The sequence below is a fragment of the Homo sapiens genome, chromosome 6 (assembly GCF_000001405.40).
Source record: "Homo sapiens chromosome 6, GRCh38.p14 Primary Assembly".
Taxonomy (NCBI): domain Eukaryota; kingdom Metazoa; phylum Chordata; class Mammalia; order Primates; family Hominidae; genus Homo; species Homo sapiens.
Window position 1 is genome coordinate 77,436,085 of NC_000006.12, and position 18,444 is coordinate 77,454,528.

Sequence of the window (18,444 nt, forward strand, 5' to 3'; positions counted from 1 at the left end):
GCATTCTTGTTTCTTGTCTCATTTGCTTCCTTTTCTTTGTTCCTTGAAATTTGAAAACAAGATTTTCATAAAATAAACTGTCAGAAAGAAAACCTGTACATTATGGTAGTTTTCAAAAGCTATTCAACACCATGTAAATACAGTAAGTGCACTTATAATCAACAAGAAGCAGCAGAAAATTTTCTCAGTGATCTGTAGAGATGACTTTTATTTTTCACAGATAAAAGAAGGGAAAATAAGTGATTTCTCTACCTGACATCATAGTACTTACAGAACTATTAGGTGAAAAGAATCCAATTCCAATAATATTTGAAAGGCAACTAGACAAGCTCTATTTAATGTGTCTAATAAATGTACATTTTGAGTGGTTATTGATATAGGAACTTCTGGTTCACCCATGTTTCCCTTAAAAAATTAAAGGTTTTGGGTTTTTTTTTTTTTTTTACTCAAAGCCTATACCAATATTCTTAGTAATGATTTCTTGCAGAATTGGCCTCTTCCCATCCAAGGGGTACAACAGTTTAAGAGATTAAAATGTATTATTTGGACAGATTTAGTTAAAGTAACAATAACAACATACACACACACACACACACACACACACACACACACACAAACCCTCCTAATGCTATCCAAGTATCTGTTGAAAAATTCATTAGGGTTTTTGGCAGCAAGAAAGACACTAATAAATATTAAACATCTGATAGGACCAAACACTGGGAACAGCTTTCCTCATGTAGTCTTTGCAACCACCCTGTGATATGGTTATAATGGTCCATATTTTATATCTAAAGAAACCATGGCTCGATAATAAGTTGTCCAGCACAAGTAAGTTGCATAAACAGTAAGTGATAAAGCAGAATTGCAATTCAGATTTCTCTAGCTATAAAATTTGGATTTGTTAACCAACACTACTGGTTTTCTAGTGTTCGAATTTGTAGCGCTAACATTTAAAAAAGAGGGACAGGGAGAGAATGGGAGAGAGAAAGAGCTACATAGGATTGCCACACTCTCCTTTTACCAAGTGTATTTAGCCATTAAAAATCAAATGAGTGGTTTGTTTCTCTTCTTAAGCTGAAAAATTATAGAAAAGCAACAGATAATTTTTTAAATGTTCATTTTCTGCAAAAGAAAGAGATAATCTTGTATGATCTGCGGATTCCAAATTAAGTATGACTGCTAATATTAAATAGAAAGTGAAAAGAACAGAAGAACATAGGATAAAGTACCAATACAACTCAGAAAATATCAGCAAAAATTGCATGGAGAGATTCACCATGAAAAAGAAAAGCTGCATTGCCTACTTATTCCAATACAGGCACTGGTGTTACCAGGACTGTTGAAAGAAATCCTTTACACTAATTAGCTCTGGGGAACAAAAATTAAGGTCTGTATAAAAATCACATAGTTCATCCAGAGCCATATTTTATGACAACAAATGTAGTCATTGGAGTATAAAGTTTTGAAAACTTATTTAGCCCTTCCTTCTCCTTCAACACTACAAAGTGTGGTACAGGACAATACAATCTGAAGAGGCTATGGACAAAATGCAGTTTAAGAAGAAACTGAAAAATGCACAAATGTCTTTTATAGTGAAAGCCTTAATGCTTTATTCTAAGATCAGGGAGAAGACAAGGCTATAAGAAGAAATATGGAACACTAATTCTGAAACCAATTTATCTGTATACTAGGGTTGAACAAGTAAGTAAATATATTATACATAATGAGAGGCAGGAATCTCACCAAGAGAGAAATAAGTTACAAATAAGAAAAAGGAGATGCTAGAATAAACATGATGACATTGGATTAAAGTCAGAAGTATCAATACAGACTAATTTTTAAAATATATTTTCTGATAAGGAGGTACAAAATAAATATAGATGTATGTATGTAGAAATAAATACACCATTCTCCAATAAAATGAACCAAAGCTCCTTAGAAAAGTGGTTGATTCTAGGGCTGGGGAAGAGAATATACGAGGTTAGCCAGGAAAGTCTCATGATGCCAGAAAGTATGAATGACCTCCCTACCCCCACAAAAATAATGAAGAAATATCAAAAAGGCACACGAACAAATGTGAAGGAGCTCTAGATGGCCAAAGCTGGAACAACTTGAGCAAAACAGTAAATGTCAGTAGCTGTTTTATAATCCAAATAATAAAATAAATATTATGAATTTATATAAATGAATAAATAAAATAGGAGAAAAGTAATATCATATCTTCACAGAAGAATTCAAATTAATAAATGTAGAAAGAATGTTAAAAGGGTAGATCTTATATTAAGTGTCATTACCACAAAAAACAAACTAACAAAAAATCAAAAACAAAAACAAGATGGCACAAAGAAGTTTTGGAAGGTGTTGGGTATGTCTATTACTTGATTGTAGTGATGGTAATACAGGTGTATGCATATATTCAAACTCAAATTGTACACATTAAATAAGCATAGTTCCTTCTACATCAATTAGAACCACAATACAGCTCTTAAAAAATAAAAGCACAAGTATTTATTTTATAAGAAAGAACAAGGAAGGGAGGAAGGAAAAAAGGAAAGAGGAAAAGAAATAAAGAAATAGGAAAATAGAAAAAATTACTATAAGAACACCACAGTAATAATTGCCACAGGCAAGATTCTCTAATAGATACTAAAATTAGCAGGCAAAGTTTAAGAGAAAACAGGATATTTGCATAGTCTCAAGTACGTTCCTTCCAATATGTATAAATTATAAAGGAAATAAAACAGTAACTTCATGATAGAGAATCCTAGAAGACATCACTTTAGCCAAATGGTCAAGGTTAACATTAACAGTAGCACAAACGGATACTATGTATCCCTTAATATAATGCACTGAGAAGGGCACATGGTCACGTCTCCTTCATGGCATTTTTCCCAAAAATGTGTAGCCTCAATCTAATAATGAGAAAACATCACACAAAACCAAACTGAGAGACACTCTGCAAACTAACAGGTCAATATTCTTTGAACATGTCAAGGTCATGAAAGACAAGGAAAGACTGAGGAAATGCCCCAGATGGGAAGAAACTAAGGAGATGTGGAAGCCGAATATGACCTAGGATTCTGTATAGAATCCTGAAAGTGAAAAAGGACATTAATGCAAAAATTTGTAAAATCCAAGCAAGTTCTGTGCTTTAGTTAATAGTATTTGACCAAGGGTAATATTTTAGTTTTGATACATTTTCTATGGTTATATAACATGTTCACATAAGTGCAAACTAGGCAAATGATATATTAGAACTTTCTTAACTGCATTTGCAAATGTTCTGTAATCCTAAAATTATCTCAAAATAAAAATAAATCTTAGAATTAAAATAAGTGAAACAAACATATTCATTATTTAGTTGGTGGCACAATCACATAAATAGGGACCAATACAAGTGAATTTAAGATGCTGGATAAATATATCAAAGACAACAATAAAATAGATGTTTAAGTAATCATTTAGCAATATAATAGTTGCTACTCTGAGACTGTTGCATTGTTAATATAGGATAAACCAAATGACAAATTATTTGAAATTCTATCAACCCCAATGTTCCTGAGAGCTAGGCTTTTCAGCGTGAGATAACAGAGAAAAGAAAGAAGGTAAGTACTTAGCCCTGTTGTCCGAATTTGAATTAAAAATAGCAGTATGAACTCGCCGGGCGCTGTGACTCACGCCTGTAATCCCAGCACTTTGGGAGGCCGAGGCGGGCGGATCATGAGGTCAGGAGCTCGAGACCATCCTGGCTAACACGGTGAAACCCCGTCTCTACTAAAAATACAAAAAATTAGCCGGGCGTGATGGCGGGCGCCTGTAGTCCCAGCTACTCAGGAGGCTGAGGCAGGAGAATGGCGTGAACCTGGGAGGCGGAGCTTGCAGTGAGCCAAGATGGCCACTGCACTCCAGGCTGGGAGACAGAGCGAGACTCCGTCTCAAAAAAAAAAAAAACAGTATGAACTCATGACAATTTAAACATTTTTCCTCTACTTATGTCCTGTAAAATCTCTAGAAACTAATTAACCCAGCAATAAAGAACACTCGAAGCAAATAGATAGGGGTCTCCAAATATTATTTCCCACTGAAAGGAATCAGGGTTCTTTGGAGAAATAAATGATTTCAGGTCTGGCATAGGACATGTATAAGATACAATTAGAATAGATAGTCATGCTAGATAGCAAGATGGGACAATGTGAATATCAGTTGGAATAATAACTTCAACTTTGTAGCAGTGCAACAGAAGTTTCATAACAACGTAACTCCAGCAGGACACCTCCATATGAATGGCTTTCCATAGCACCATACTGGGCAGATTGCCAGCAAGTTCTACCAGCTTAGCACCACAGTGACTTCTCTGTCATCTGGTGAGCCTATGATCGCCAATAAAGGTCTGGATCTCAGCCTGGGCTCTCTTCCTTGGGTATGTATCTCAGCCCAAGGGGTAGAGACTGGTGTTTATATCTATTACAACTACATTCTTTAAAGTAGTGTTTACTTCTTACTATCTCATGGCTCATTATTACAATGCCTTGTTATAATTAACAACTGTTCATATTAATATTTTCCTATGCAAGTTCATGTGTGGTTTCTGTTTCCTGACTGAGCATAAGAGGAAGTGAATGATAGTATGAATGGGGCCAGATTGGTCATGAGTTGATAGATGTTAGGACTGCGTGATAGCTCCATGTGGCTCTTCTACTTATGTGTATATTCAAAATTCTCCATAATAGAAAGACAGCTAAAAGCAGCTTTACATTTTTTCTGTAATGAGCCATATAAATATTTATACTGAGTCATAGAAAAAAGACTGTAATGAGTTCTACTCAAGTTTTGCCTACCAAGTGAGTTGTACCAAATTTACAAAAAAAAAAAAATAGCTTTTAGAAATCTTTACACATCAGAATTGTGGATAAGGTATGGAAAATGTAAATATACATATATAGTAATTGAATTATTTAGAGACCTAGGAAGAAATGAACTGCATAGTCAAATTAGCGTCATTCAAGGGAGGCTTAATTAAAGAGAATATTGTCAAAGGTACAAGCATTGTGAAGATACTAAAAGCAGTTGTTACCAAGCCTATGGCCCATAGGTAGAGGTGAGAACTGTTATCAGAAACAGTTGTAGAAAAGGATATCCTGAAAGATTGTAGAGTACAACAGTCTGAGGTGACACCATAGAAAGTTCTTGACTCCACTCTCCTCCCTCTTTCAGATCTATGCTGAACCTAACTGGAAACTGGGTGGCAAGAGTTGATACAGTCCACACAGGTCGGCCTCCTGGGCAGAGATCAGAGTAGGACAGGATGAAGAACACATCTGGAGGGTCAAAGAGAAGCTATGACACAGGGTAAATACTTAAAAAGTACAAATAATGAATGATATTGGGTTACAAAGGAAATGATGAGGACAGAGAATAAGAAACACTATATTGTTGTGCATAGTAGCAAACTAAGAAATTAATATCCAATGTAGTAGAATGTGAGAAATATTATGTAAATTTATGAAGATGACGACCAAACCAAAAACACAATCTTTGTCAAATATCAGAAAAAAACACATCTCTCCAAGCCAAAAAAAAAAAAAAAAAAAAAAAATTGCCAATGGCGTTTCACAAATGTCGTAGTCACCTAAATACCTACCAGCAAAATTTGAGGGACTGTTTTTCCCATAGTCTTACAGAATGTGCTATATAGCTTGGATTTTTTGCTAAGCTTATATGTAAAAAATGATGTCTTAATGTAGCATAATCCATTTTCTCTTTATTAATTTAGGATACAGCTATCTGTGAACATTCTACTCCATTTTATTGGTCTATTCATTTGTAAGCATTATCACATTATAATTATACAAGACTTTCAATATGTTTTCATACCTGGTAGGACTAGTTTCCCCATACTTTTTATAGTTTGAAGAACTTTCCAAAATATTACTTTTTGTTTATTTTTTCATATGAACTTTAGCTCACTCAGTTAAAAAAGAAGCATGTTGGATTGTTTTGTTTTGTTTTGTTTTTTGAGACTGAGTCTTGCTCTTGTCGCCCAGGCTGAAGCGCAATGGCACAATCTCGGCTCACTGCAACCTCTGCCTCCCAGATTCAAGCAATTTTAATGCCTCAGCCTCCCTAGTAGCGAGGATTACAGGTGCCTGCCACCACGCACGGCTAATTTTTTTGTATTTTTTAGTAGAGACGGAGTTTCACCATGTTGGCCAGGCTCCAGGCTGGTCTTGAACTCCTGACTTCAGGTGATCCACCTGCCTCCACCTCTCAAAGTGCTGGGATTACAAGCGTGAGCCACCACACCCGGTCGCATGTTGGTTTTTATTAATGACACTAGGTTAAATTACAAAATAACTTAGAAAAAAAATGACATCTTATGATTGCTATGTCTTCAGAACATTGTTACAAACATCTGTATATGCAAAAAATTCCACGACTGAGAATTCATCCTGCAGATATGGCACACATGTGTGAAATGCTATAAGTACGCAACTATTCACTGTGACATTGTTTGCTATAGCATGCCCAAAACCAACATAAACAAAGTCAAAAGGCTAATGACACCATGAGAAAAATATTGACAACTGCTGGTGCAGACAAAGGGTTAAACTCTCCAACATACAGTGAGATTTCTATACTGCCATGAGAAATCTCAATAACCCAATTTAAAAAAAAAAAAGAGTAAAAGACATGAAGCAACAGCCTCCCTTCACACCAACTGTATTTATTATTCAGGGTTCTTCAGGGAAACAAAATAGGATAAATATAGATATATAAGAGGAAATTTATTATGGGAATTGGCTCATGCAATTACTGAGGCTGAGAAGTCCCACAATATGTGGTTTGAAGTTGGAGAATCAGGAAAACTGGTCGTGTAATACAGTCTGAACCTGAAAGCTCAAGAACCAGGGGAGCTGATGCTGTAACTCTCAGTTTGATTTCAAAGACCTGAGAACCTGGGGGGCCACTAGTATAAGTACCGGAGTCTAAAGGCCCAAGCACATAAAGTTCTGATGCCTGAGGGCAGGAGAAGATGGATGTTCTAGCTCCAGAAGAGAGAGAAAATATACTCATCCTCTGTCTTTTTCTTCTGTCTGGGCCTTCAGTGAAGCAAATGATGCCCATCTTCACTGATGAAGACAGACTTTTACTCAGTCTACTGGTTCAAATACTAATCTCTTTAAGAAACACCCTTACAGAGACACTCAAATAAAATGTTTTACCAGCTTTCTGTATATCCTTTAACCCAGTCAAATTATAACCTAAAACTAACCATCACATCAACCAAAAGCAAAAAAACAAGCAAACACAAATAGCCATTTAACAAATGAAAACTTGCTTATACTGACTCATAATAAGATAAATGCTAATTAAAACTACACTGTATGAGAGTATCAGAAAGACTGATATCAGACTGTATTGGTGAGGCTACCATTGCTCTCATATATTGTTGGTAGTAGTACAAATTCTGTGGGGGACAGTGTTGAAATATGTTTCAAAATTATAAATCAAATACCCTTTGATTTAATGATCCCACTTATGGGGATGTATTATAAAGATATATGTGTACCATAAACATATACATATATTATCATATATCACATATTATATATAATTTTTTAAAAAATATCATAGCAAGAAATTAGAAATCGTCTAAGTATCTATCTGTAGATCATTACTTAATTAAAATATGGCACTTATCCATAATGCCATATTATGAAGCTATAAAAAGAAATGAAGAATCTCTCTATAAAGTGAACTAAGTTTTTATTAAAAAAAGGTAGCTATGTACAATTATTGCTCCAAAGAAAATAAAATAGTTATAGATATAACAAAATATGTCCGTATACTATACATTACAAAATGCTGATGGTAGAAAAAAATCTAAATAAATATGAAACATACTATGTTCATGGATTGAAAGATTTAATTTAGTAAAGATGCAACTCTCCCCAATGTGATCCATAGATTTAATGCAATTCCTGTCAGAAACTGGTAGACATAAACAAGCTTATTTAAGCTTATTCGAGCTTGTCTTGTATGCAAAGACAAAGGACCTAAAATAGCTAAAACTATTTGATAAATAGTAATAAAGTAGAAATAATCACTCTACTCAATATCAAGGCTTACAATAAAGCTACAGTATTCAAGTATTCAATAGAACAGAACAGAGGGCTCAGAAATCATGTGATAGAAGTATAGCCAATTGATAGCTTTTTAATTTTTTCCTGCTCTGTTGCCCAGGCTGGAGTGCAATGGCACTATCTCAGCTCACTGCAACCTCTGCCTCCTGGGTTCAAGCAATTCTCCTGCCTCAGCCTCCCAAGTAGCTGGGACTACAGTCATGCATCACCACACTGGCTAATTTTTGCATTTTCAATAGAGACAGTGTTCTGCCCTCCCAAAGTGCTGGGATTACAGGTGTGAGCCACCGTGCCTGGCCACCAACTGATTTCTTATACAGGCACACAAGTGATTCAATAAAAGAAGGCTAAATAGCTTTTTCAACAAATGGTGTTTGATAAATTGGACATTCATAGGCAAAAAATTGAACCCTGATCTAAACCTCACACCTTAGGCAAAAATTACTTAAATTTGGCCATGAAATTAAATATAAACCATAAAAGTATATTTTTTTCAAACAAATCATCTGAAGAAAATTTTCAGAACTTATAAATGGAAGAGTTTTAGACATAACACCAAAAACATAATCTGTGAAAGAAAAAATTGATAAAATGGAACTAATCAAAATTAAAACTTTTATCCTGTGAAACCTCATATAAAAATGATTTTTAAAAGATCAGCTACAAACAAGGATGAAATATTTGCAAGCCATATACCAAACAAATGTCGTATATCTACTATATATATAAATATATATTTATCAAAATTCTGTAGTAGAAAAACACATTATTAGCTGGGCAAAAGAAATGAACAGACATTTTACCAAAGACAACATGTAAATGGCAAATAAGCACATGTTAACGTTACTAGCCATTAGAAAAATTTAAAGTACAATAAAATATTACTACATGCCTATTAAAATAGCTAGAAGAAAAAGTGGTGACACCAAATGCTGTGGTCACACACTGTGGTAGGAATGTAAAATGGTACAGCCACTCTGGGCAGTTTTTCATAAATCAAAAAGGGCACATATCATATGACCTAGTAATTGTACTGTTAGGTATTTACCCCAGAACTCTGTACACAAATGTTCATAGATGTTTTATTTCTAATAGTCAAAAAATTTAAATGACCCAAATGTCCATTAACAGGCAAATGATTAAACAAACTGATACATCCATGTTGTGGAATACTATGCAGCAATGAAAAATAATTATTGATTGATATGTGTAACAACCTGATGAATCTCAAGAGCGTTATGCTGAGTAGAAAAAGCAATCTTAAAAGGTTACAAACGATATGATTTCATATATAAAACATTTTTGAAATAAAAGTTTTAAAATGGAGAACAGATCAATGGTTGCCAGATTTCACCAATTTTACACAAGTACATGCAAAACTGGTGAAATCTGAATAAACTTTGTAGAATGTATAAATGTCAATTTTCTAGTTTTGAAATTGTACTGTAGTTACACAAGATGTTACCCTTGGGAAAACTGGGTATAGGGTACAAGAAATCTCCTCGTGCTTAGTTTTTAAACTACTTCCACTACGTTTATAATTCTTTTAAAATAAAAGTTAGTAAAAAGCATTGTGTGGAATTGTATATGTATTATGTTAATACTTTGTGGGAAGGGGGAAGGAGGGAAAAATATCATATTTGTTTTTGCTTACGTGTGTACAAAGGAACTCCAAACAGATACTAATAACAGTAATTACCTGAATGTGTGGGTCAGGGGAAACACAGCATATGGGAGACAGATGTTGAAAGGGATATTTTTTAAAATATTTGAGTCACATTAATGTATTTCTTATTCAAAAAATAAAAATTATTATTGTAGGCATAAAAATAATTACAGTTATTATGCACTATCTCCATCAATCATACAAAAGACAATTTAACACCAAAAAACTAAAATGCCATATCCTTGAATTTAGAGTAGACATGCAAATTTAATTTGTTCTACCTTATAAGAAATTTAATTCATCAGTATTATTTCTCTTACTTCTTGTGGATTTAGAGAAAACTGACCACTGATAAACACCAGTCTTGAAAAATGACACAGAAAAGACTGCATTAGCTCACACCAATTTTACCTAGGTGCCAAGATGAATTTCACACTTTTTGATTTGCAATCTTGAAGTTTAAGCATATGCAAAGCATTGTTCTCTTGGACTTTAGAAAGAGAAAACAACAAAGGGATCCTTTAAATAACTTCCACAAATTGGAATAGAATATTCCTTTCTGTGCTTTAGCATTTCTTGGGAAATAGAATTGTGTGGTGCTATATGTACATTTCTCAAAAAAGAAAACAAAGAACAAGGAAAATGCAAATGCCACAACTCAGAAGAATTTTTGAAAATAGTCAAGAGGAAATGAGGGCCCGCAATTAAAGTGCACAGGCATCATTCAACCACAATTTATTAATGCAGCATATAGAAGTAAAATGCCAACCACCTCAAATACTAATGGAAATCAATAAATGCCAATATATGTAGTGCTGTTATGAAGGAAATATCTACTTTTTTATTTATCTGCTAGAACAGAGCAAAATGAAAGTTGGTACCTTAGACAAATAAAATATTAAAGATACTCTGAGATTATTCACATTCAAAACTGCCATATTTTGCTAACTTAAAAAGCCTTTTCTCTATGCATCTAAACTTTATATAGCAAAGCTCATTTTAGCATTAGTTGTCTATACATTTACTTTTCTCATTTTCTTTCAGTGTATTTCCAAAGAAGTAATTGGTTTAGCCAATATATATAGGAGAAAGGCACTACCTTTAAGGAAAAATGATAGCAAATTTAGAAACTCTAAATTAATAATTTTTTAAATAAAATACACATGGGAACACACAGATATGTTAGCAATTCAACAATCTACCATTATTGGGGAAAGTCAACTGTCTTTAATTTCAATGAAAGCAACCCAGTGAAGACAGACTCTTCAGGCACTGTAGAAAGGAGATGATGTCTCAAAACCAATTTTACATTATACCCCCTTTGCTTCCATTGATACTATTGTCATTGCTGATATGTCTTACACTTTTACACTTTTCAGAACGTTCAAAGCAGTTATTGAAAGAAAGATAATAGCTGACCTCTGCCTGGAACACTCTTCCCCCATACCAATTTGGCTCACTCCCTCCCACAGCTGCATATCACTGGCAGTTTTCTTCATGGTACTTTTCACCACCACATGATCTGTATTTCCTTGGTTATTGTATGAGTTCCCCCTCAGGAATTTTAGTTTCATGAGGATAAGGACTGGGAAATTTGATTCATTCTGTATTTCCAGTATCATGGAAAGAGCAGTGACTCAATAAGTTTCCTATTTAAACCTCATAATGATTCCATAAGTAAAAAGGTGCTGATAAAAGTTAAGTGAGTTTTCCCAATATTACCAGGCTAATTAGTGGAAACAATTATGACTCAATTTCATGTATTTGAATTCTAAATCTTGTGCTTTCCCCAGCATATCACATTTTTGATAATGTGAGTGAATATAAATCTGAAAAATTTCATCAGAATTTTGTGGAAATGGGACATTGTATATGTTAATTGTGCACCTACAAGAGCATGTATATTTATTATTTTGGTATATGATATAATTCTAATGTGCACAAGCAAAAACCTTTTTTTTTTCATAAATATACTAAAGTACTTAGGCATACTTATCAGGAAGAATAAAGAAACAAGTAACTTGACATTGCTTGTGATAAGGCTAGATGCTAATGCAGAGGCATTAATAAGTCTATGAAATTAACCATAATAATTTAACAACTTAGCAAACATTTATTGAGTATCTTTAATGGGTCAGCACCTAGACTCTGCACTAAGGCCATGAAGAGATGAATAAATGATAGTGCACACTCTTAAAAGAGCTCAAGTCACTTAAAAATATTAACATAAAAGTATAATTGCAATATAGTGGAGTTAGAAGATGTTATAAAGTGTTATAAGAACAAAGGGAATCAGGGGCCAACCCTGCCTAGGAAAGTCAAGAAGAGTTGTAATTTGAGCTGCATCTCAGAAGATGACTCCTCATTCTCAGGTCCAATTGCAATAGAAGGAGTAGCAGGTATGTGGAGCTGGGAAATGGCACAAATATTCAAAGGGCTAGTTTGTTTAATGTGTCTTGGGAGAGGGTGCACAAGAAGGCCTAGCTGGAGATAGGACTGTCAATGAGCATAGTAGTACTATCTACATGTTGTTGAGAAGGTTCAAGGAGATGAGGCATAGAAGAATATTGGTCTGATGCTGCATTAAGCATTGAGTAAATGCTGGCACTTGTTTTGGAACAGAGGATTTGAGATTTTTTATATATCTATAAATCCAAAAGAAGAAAAATGTCTCCTAGTACGAAAATAAATCCACTGTTTATCAAATAAAATTTTTCATTTGGGTAGCCATGTAATAGAAATGGCATGCATATTATACAAAGCTGTTTTCGACACCAGAGACTCCAGGCAGCATTATCATCTGACGTTTTCAGTGAGAACCAATATACATGACAAGGAGCTTCAGAAGTAGTGAAGCAATCCAGTAATTCATTAGAACCAGTCATTATATGAAATTCACTTGCATAGATAGATGTCAGTTTTACAGGGAAGGGGTGTGAGTTTGGCTCCTTCTTTCATTACTCATGACCTCAATCCTTAGGGAAATGACAAGATAATTTAATTCTCAAACACTCATTTGGGAGTGTCAATGATAAATGATCAGAAATATTGCTGTTGCCGTTGTACTGTTTTTCCTATTAGTTCTTTCCTTTTCTTTCCTGTACTTGCTTTGCCTTCTCTCCACTCAGCCCAAGAAAATAACTTGATATTGGAGCAATAAGGCCTGTCACAATAAACCTAATCTTCTGTCACAATCTTTCTCCTTTTTTCCTTGTCTTTTGTTTTCCCTTAAAAAAATTCTCCAGTTTAGTACTTGCATGGCACTTCATATTTCTGCATAATTAAAAGCCAGAACTAATTGATCCAATTGTGTGTACCAGTCAGCCCAAGAAAATGGTAATTTTCTTCTTCTTTGCATCTTGCAATCACCTAATAAGCAGCTCTAATGCTGGCTGTTGAATTACATAATAAACAAAAATTTCCCAACATTTAACATTTGTTCAAAGGTTTAATGCTGTGGGTTCACAAGAGCAGAAAGAATAGAAATGTGCACTTATCCAGTGAAATCAATCAATCAATGTAAACTGCAAATCTAAATTAATTATTCAGGCTACCAAAATCTTATGCTTTCGTTGTTTGTTGTTGTATAAATGCCAAAATTGTTTGAAAAAAAATTAGTCTAACTTTACTTGGAAGTTAGGCCTTTGTTGAAACATATGTGCCCAATAAGAATCCTTTTGTATTCTAATTCAAATATTAATTATTTTGCAAACAAGTAAAGGAAGACATTTAGTGTAGTTATGTTTGTCACTCAAATCTGAGTATGTAAAGTCTTGATTGAGTAGAACAGGAATCACAGACCACCATCATTGGGCCAGAGTGAGGTCTTATGCCTGTTGGATTTTACTGCTTCTATCCATGGACCTATGAACCCACCACCCACATGCGTGCATCCCCACCAGCTCTTCCCCACTAAACTTTTCACCACACTGTGTGTCACTCAGAGTGAATCATAGAACAGCCAAGAAACAGAAAAATGCCTTCCTTCTGGCAGGCACTGCGCTCCCGGCCCGGACCCCAGAGCCGGCCAAGCATCCCTCCTGACTGCTTTAGGCTTCCCTCCATACTCAATGAGTTCACCAAAGTCTCATCCCTTTAGAAAATCTTCCCTTGACACCCTTTGTAGAAGTACAGAAGGCATTTCTATGACTACTGTAGGGTTCAATAACCCTACATTTCTATGACTAAAAACGTGATCCCATGAGAGACCAATGTATGAAAATTTGTATTTAAAACATTTAATGACAATAAGACCGCAATTGTCTGAAAGCTTAGAAAATGAGGCTGTCCTTTTAACTTTGCTTTCTGTTGCTAAGTGAGACATATTTGGCTCTAAAGTATCATGATCCTCAATTGTGACACTTGCTACTTACTGAAAATCTTCTTAGAATGTATTAGTGCACTGTTCTCCCTAAGTAAAATCATTTAGTCTTTTCTGATGATTCAACATCTTGTAATACCTGATTAGAAGCAAATAGTTTCTCTTTTATGGTAACACATTGTTTTCACTTGTATACTTTTAACTAAAAGAATTTTAGGAAACCATATGATTGAAAAATATTTTATTGAAAATTATTATGCAAGATAAAATGTTCACTCATTCATTCCCACATTAATGTACTGAACACGTATGGATCTCCTACAAAGTATGAGGCACTCTGCCAGGCCCTGCAATGCAGTGGCAAATAACACTAGAACCACTTAGAAAGGGAGAACTTGCAGGCTAAGTTCTCCTTTATTTTGTGCTAAGATACTATTGAATTCTCTTAAAAACTCATTTGTAGGCCTTTAGCATCACAGCCCACATGGTATATGGGAGAAAGACTGCAAAAGCAGCATATAAGAGGAACCAAATATCTCAATATGGAAAATCAGAAAGGGTTTTCCAGAGGTGGAGGCAAGTAAACTGGGACCTACATGATTAGGAGTAGGTTTTGGCATTCAACAACATTGTTCAATTACCCTACATTTTGGTGCTCTCTATTAACAATAATTTTTTAACATTTTTTGGACAAGAGGCCTCATAAAGAATCTAATAAAAGGTTTGTCCATTATATTTAGAAATTATTAAAATGATAAACTTTATGTTATTTGTATTTTACTACAAATTAAAAATCCTCCTATCCAAGAAAAATATGTAAATGCACATAGACACAAATAATGTCAATGTTGTGAAATATATTTGGTTTTCTGCTGGAGAGAGGAGTCACTACTGACATCTAGAGAGTAGAGAACAGAAATGCTGTTAAACATCTTATACAGAATAAGCCTCCACAACAAAGAATTCTCTGACCAAAATGTCAATAGTGCTGAGCTTGAGAAACCTCTGTGTATGCTAATCAAGTTGCTCAATTAATTTTCTATAGGAAATGATTTGATCACCTTCAAAATTGAATATGCAAAGAAACAAGAAAAATGTAGAGATGCATCCATTATTTATATAAAAGTAAACAACATGTTTTTTGTGTGTGCTGGGAGAGGGAGTTGAAGTGGATAATCACCTTGGTGTACTTTAGTTTTATACTTACCCAGTATACTTATTATTGTTCTTTGCAGGAACGGTCAGATTTAAATAAAATAAATAAGAAAATTAAAATGTTATATAATGCAGTGTTTAAACTCTTATTTTTGTTCTACTTTTGATCTAAAATAGGTCATAGACATCATTTCATAAAGGCAGGTGTATCTCCTTTGTGGAATGAAAATAATCTTCCCAGTCTATCTGCCCTATGGTGTTAGCCTGCAGCAGTTGCTATAGCAAATATCTGTGTTTTATGAATACCACTGAGTAACTCAAGCAGTCAAAAATGAAAACAGACTTGATTAAATGCAGACTAAGTGACCTTTAAAATTATTTCACTGCTTCTGGACAGTGTTTGGGTTATTGTGGACAAATATCTACTCCGTATGCACTTGTGGTACCTGAGACCGCTTCTATACGAGGTCAGGAAAGCACACCGCCATGTTTCTGTCAGACGCTTCCCTGTTAGAAGTTCACAGTGGACAGCCACCTTTAACATGGTAAAATCCACAGTGATCATTAAGAAACACAGCAGGACAGATTATATGTGCTGGGTTCTATTTTTCTAGCTGAGTGTAGTGACATATTTACCATCCCAAATTAATTTTTCTCCCTGAAGACTTGAATGCTCATAGTATCTAAAAAATATTAAAAATCTTACAGAAACAGACAGTATAACATACAAGCATACATTTACCAAATAAACTACAAAGGGGCTAAGTTTTTTTTCAATAGCCTCTTAAATTTCATTCTTTCTCCAGGTCCCTCACATGGCTGTATGACAAACTACTCATTTTTGCCTATCTAGAAATATGTTGTAGCTCAAAATAAGTCCTACCTTATCTTTTTATATACAAACCCCACACTGTTTTAGTGTTCTGCATAAATATGTTATTTTTATTTATTTATTTGTTTATTTATTTTGAGACAGTCTTACTCTATTGTCCAGGCTGGAGTGCAGTGGTGTGATCTCAGCTCCCGGCATCCTCAGCCTCCTGGGTTCAAGTGATTCTCATGCCTCAGTCACCCAAGTAGCTGGAATTATAGGCGTGCTATATCCAGCTAATTTTTGTATTTTCAGTAGAGACCTTATGTTGGCCAGGTTGGTCTCGAACTCCTGGCCTCAAGTGATCGCCTGCCTCAGCCTCCCAAAGTGCTGGGATTACAGGCGTGAGTCACCACACCCAGCCTATGAGTAAACATTATTTTAATGTTCTCAAGTAATCTATAGCATGAACAAACTAATTCACAATAAGGTGTAAATGGATAATGTGCTAAAACCTCAAAATGTATTTGTGATTTAAAATATTCAAAACGATGATTCTAATTAATACATATTAGGCAGGAAATGGGGTAATTTTTCTAGCACCCCTTGAATCACGGCATATAAGCAATTTCCAAACAGTATCAGTAAAACTGGTTCCAATCTCACAAAGTTACACAGATCTCACTTTCAATAATAAATGGAATTTTAACCAACATTGAAGCATAGAATACGATATCAGGCCTTAACTTCCAAAGATGGGAAAGAAAGTTGAAAAAGAAGAAAACTAAGGTCTACTGAGCAATTGCCTTGCTGCAAGAACTGTCTCAGGTGTCTACGCTTACTATATAATAATAATATAATCCCCTTATTCTTTCAAGATAGATCATATTAGTCTTATTTTAGAGACAGGAAAACTGAGACTTAACAGAGATTAAATACTTTTTCTGAAATCACATACTGGTAAGAAAAAAACCCAACATTTTAAACAGCTGTGCTGACTCCAAATTTCATAATCTTTGGATAGACACCTGGCTTATTTTGTCTGAACAGAATGAAGCCAGTATCTGGTAAACACCTATAATGTTTAGAGACTATTTAGACTAAGAAATGCCACACAGTAGCTTGTTTTGTTTTGTTTTGTTTTGAGACGGAGTCTCGCTCTGTCACCCAGGCTGGAGTGCAGTGGTGCAATCTTGGCTCACTGCAACCTCCACCTTCTGGTTTCAAGCGATTCTCCTGCCTCAGCCTACCGCACAGTAGCTTGTTTAATCCTCTTAATAAGCTTATGGATAAGGCACTATTTTCCCCACATTAACAGATAAAGAAACTAATGCTTACTGAGGTTAAGGTCACACAACGGGTAAGTGACAAATCTAGAATTTGAATCCAGGTCAGCCTGGGCTTTAATTCTATTTCCAAATTTACTAAAATTTCTGTGTATTTTTTTGTTCCACCTAAAAATGAATGAAAATAATCAAAGACATAGGACAAAAAGTATTTCGAGTAAAATTTTCTCCCAAAGGCGAGTCTACAACTTTGCACACTCGCTATTATAATGTTTGCTCCTTAATTTCTTTTACAACTAGTCTAAATATTTGGGTTTTAAGTCAGTTTTGTAGTTTTGTGAATACTGGTAAGTTTCTATCCCTGAGATTTATTTGTTTTGTTGTTTATGGTGTTGTTTTGGGGTTTGGGGGTGGATTATGAGGGGAGAGGAAAGCAATTTAAAGCTCTTAGCAGGAGGGACTCTGCTAATAAGGAATATGATTATAAAAAAAGATAAAGACATTAATTTAGAAGTTTTATTTATGTAATGCAAAAACAACCGTAACATTTGAAAACATTTTGCTATTTGCCTGAGTTTACTTTTCACCCAGAAATTTGACTCCATGTAAAAACGGGATATAAATCTCGAACTAACGTTCTATAAATGGTAAACGCCTCCTCCTGTCATGCATTACTCATCATAGCAAAAGCATCTATATTTAATAGTACCATATCCAGGAGTTAAAATCTATATTTTTATACATACCAACTTCCCTAGAAGAGGTCAGGAGGCAAGGTATGTGCCCTGGTTGGTTAGGGTTGGAGTCAGACAGGGAGGGGGAGATGTTTGGGAGCAGCCCAAGAGGAAACTCATGTTCCCTAGATACAACGTTGTACTTAGAAATATATCCCTAAAGTTCTATTCTACTTTAATGCTTCAGAATAGCATTTTTAAAAAAACCACTATTCTCAAAGACTGAGTGAAACAGACATAATAATGTAGTTTCCTTTTAAAATCTGAATACAAAGTATTCAAATGGGGCTGTCATCATAACTCTGTAACCTGAAAAACTGGATCAAA

The 18,444-nt window shown here is 34.6% G+C and overlaps 1 protein-coding gene across 1 annotated transcript in view; it reads left to right on the plus strand.

Moving 5' to 3' along the window:
* LOC105377864 (uncharacterized) overlaps nucleotides 1-18,444 on the plus strand; it is an 82,536-nt gene that overhangs the window by 32,481 nt on the left and 31,611 nt on the right. Inside the window, exons 4-5 of the mRNA XM_047419660.1 lie at nucleotides 4,230-4,420; nucleotides 5,215-5,349. The gene's annotated coding sequence lies outside the window, so the exon portion shown is untranslated. The remainder of the gene's footprint in view (nucleotides 1-4,229; nucleotides 4,421-5,214; nucleotides 5,350-18,444) is intronic.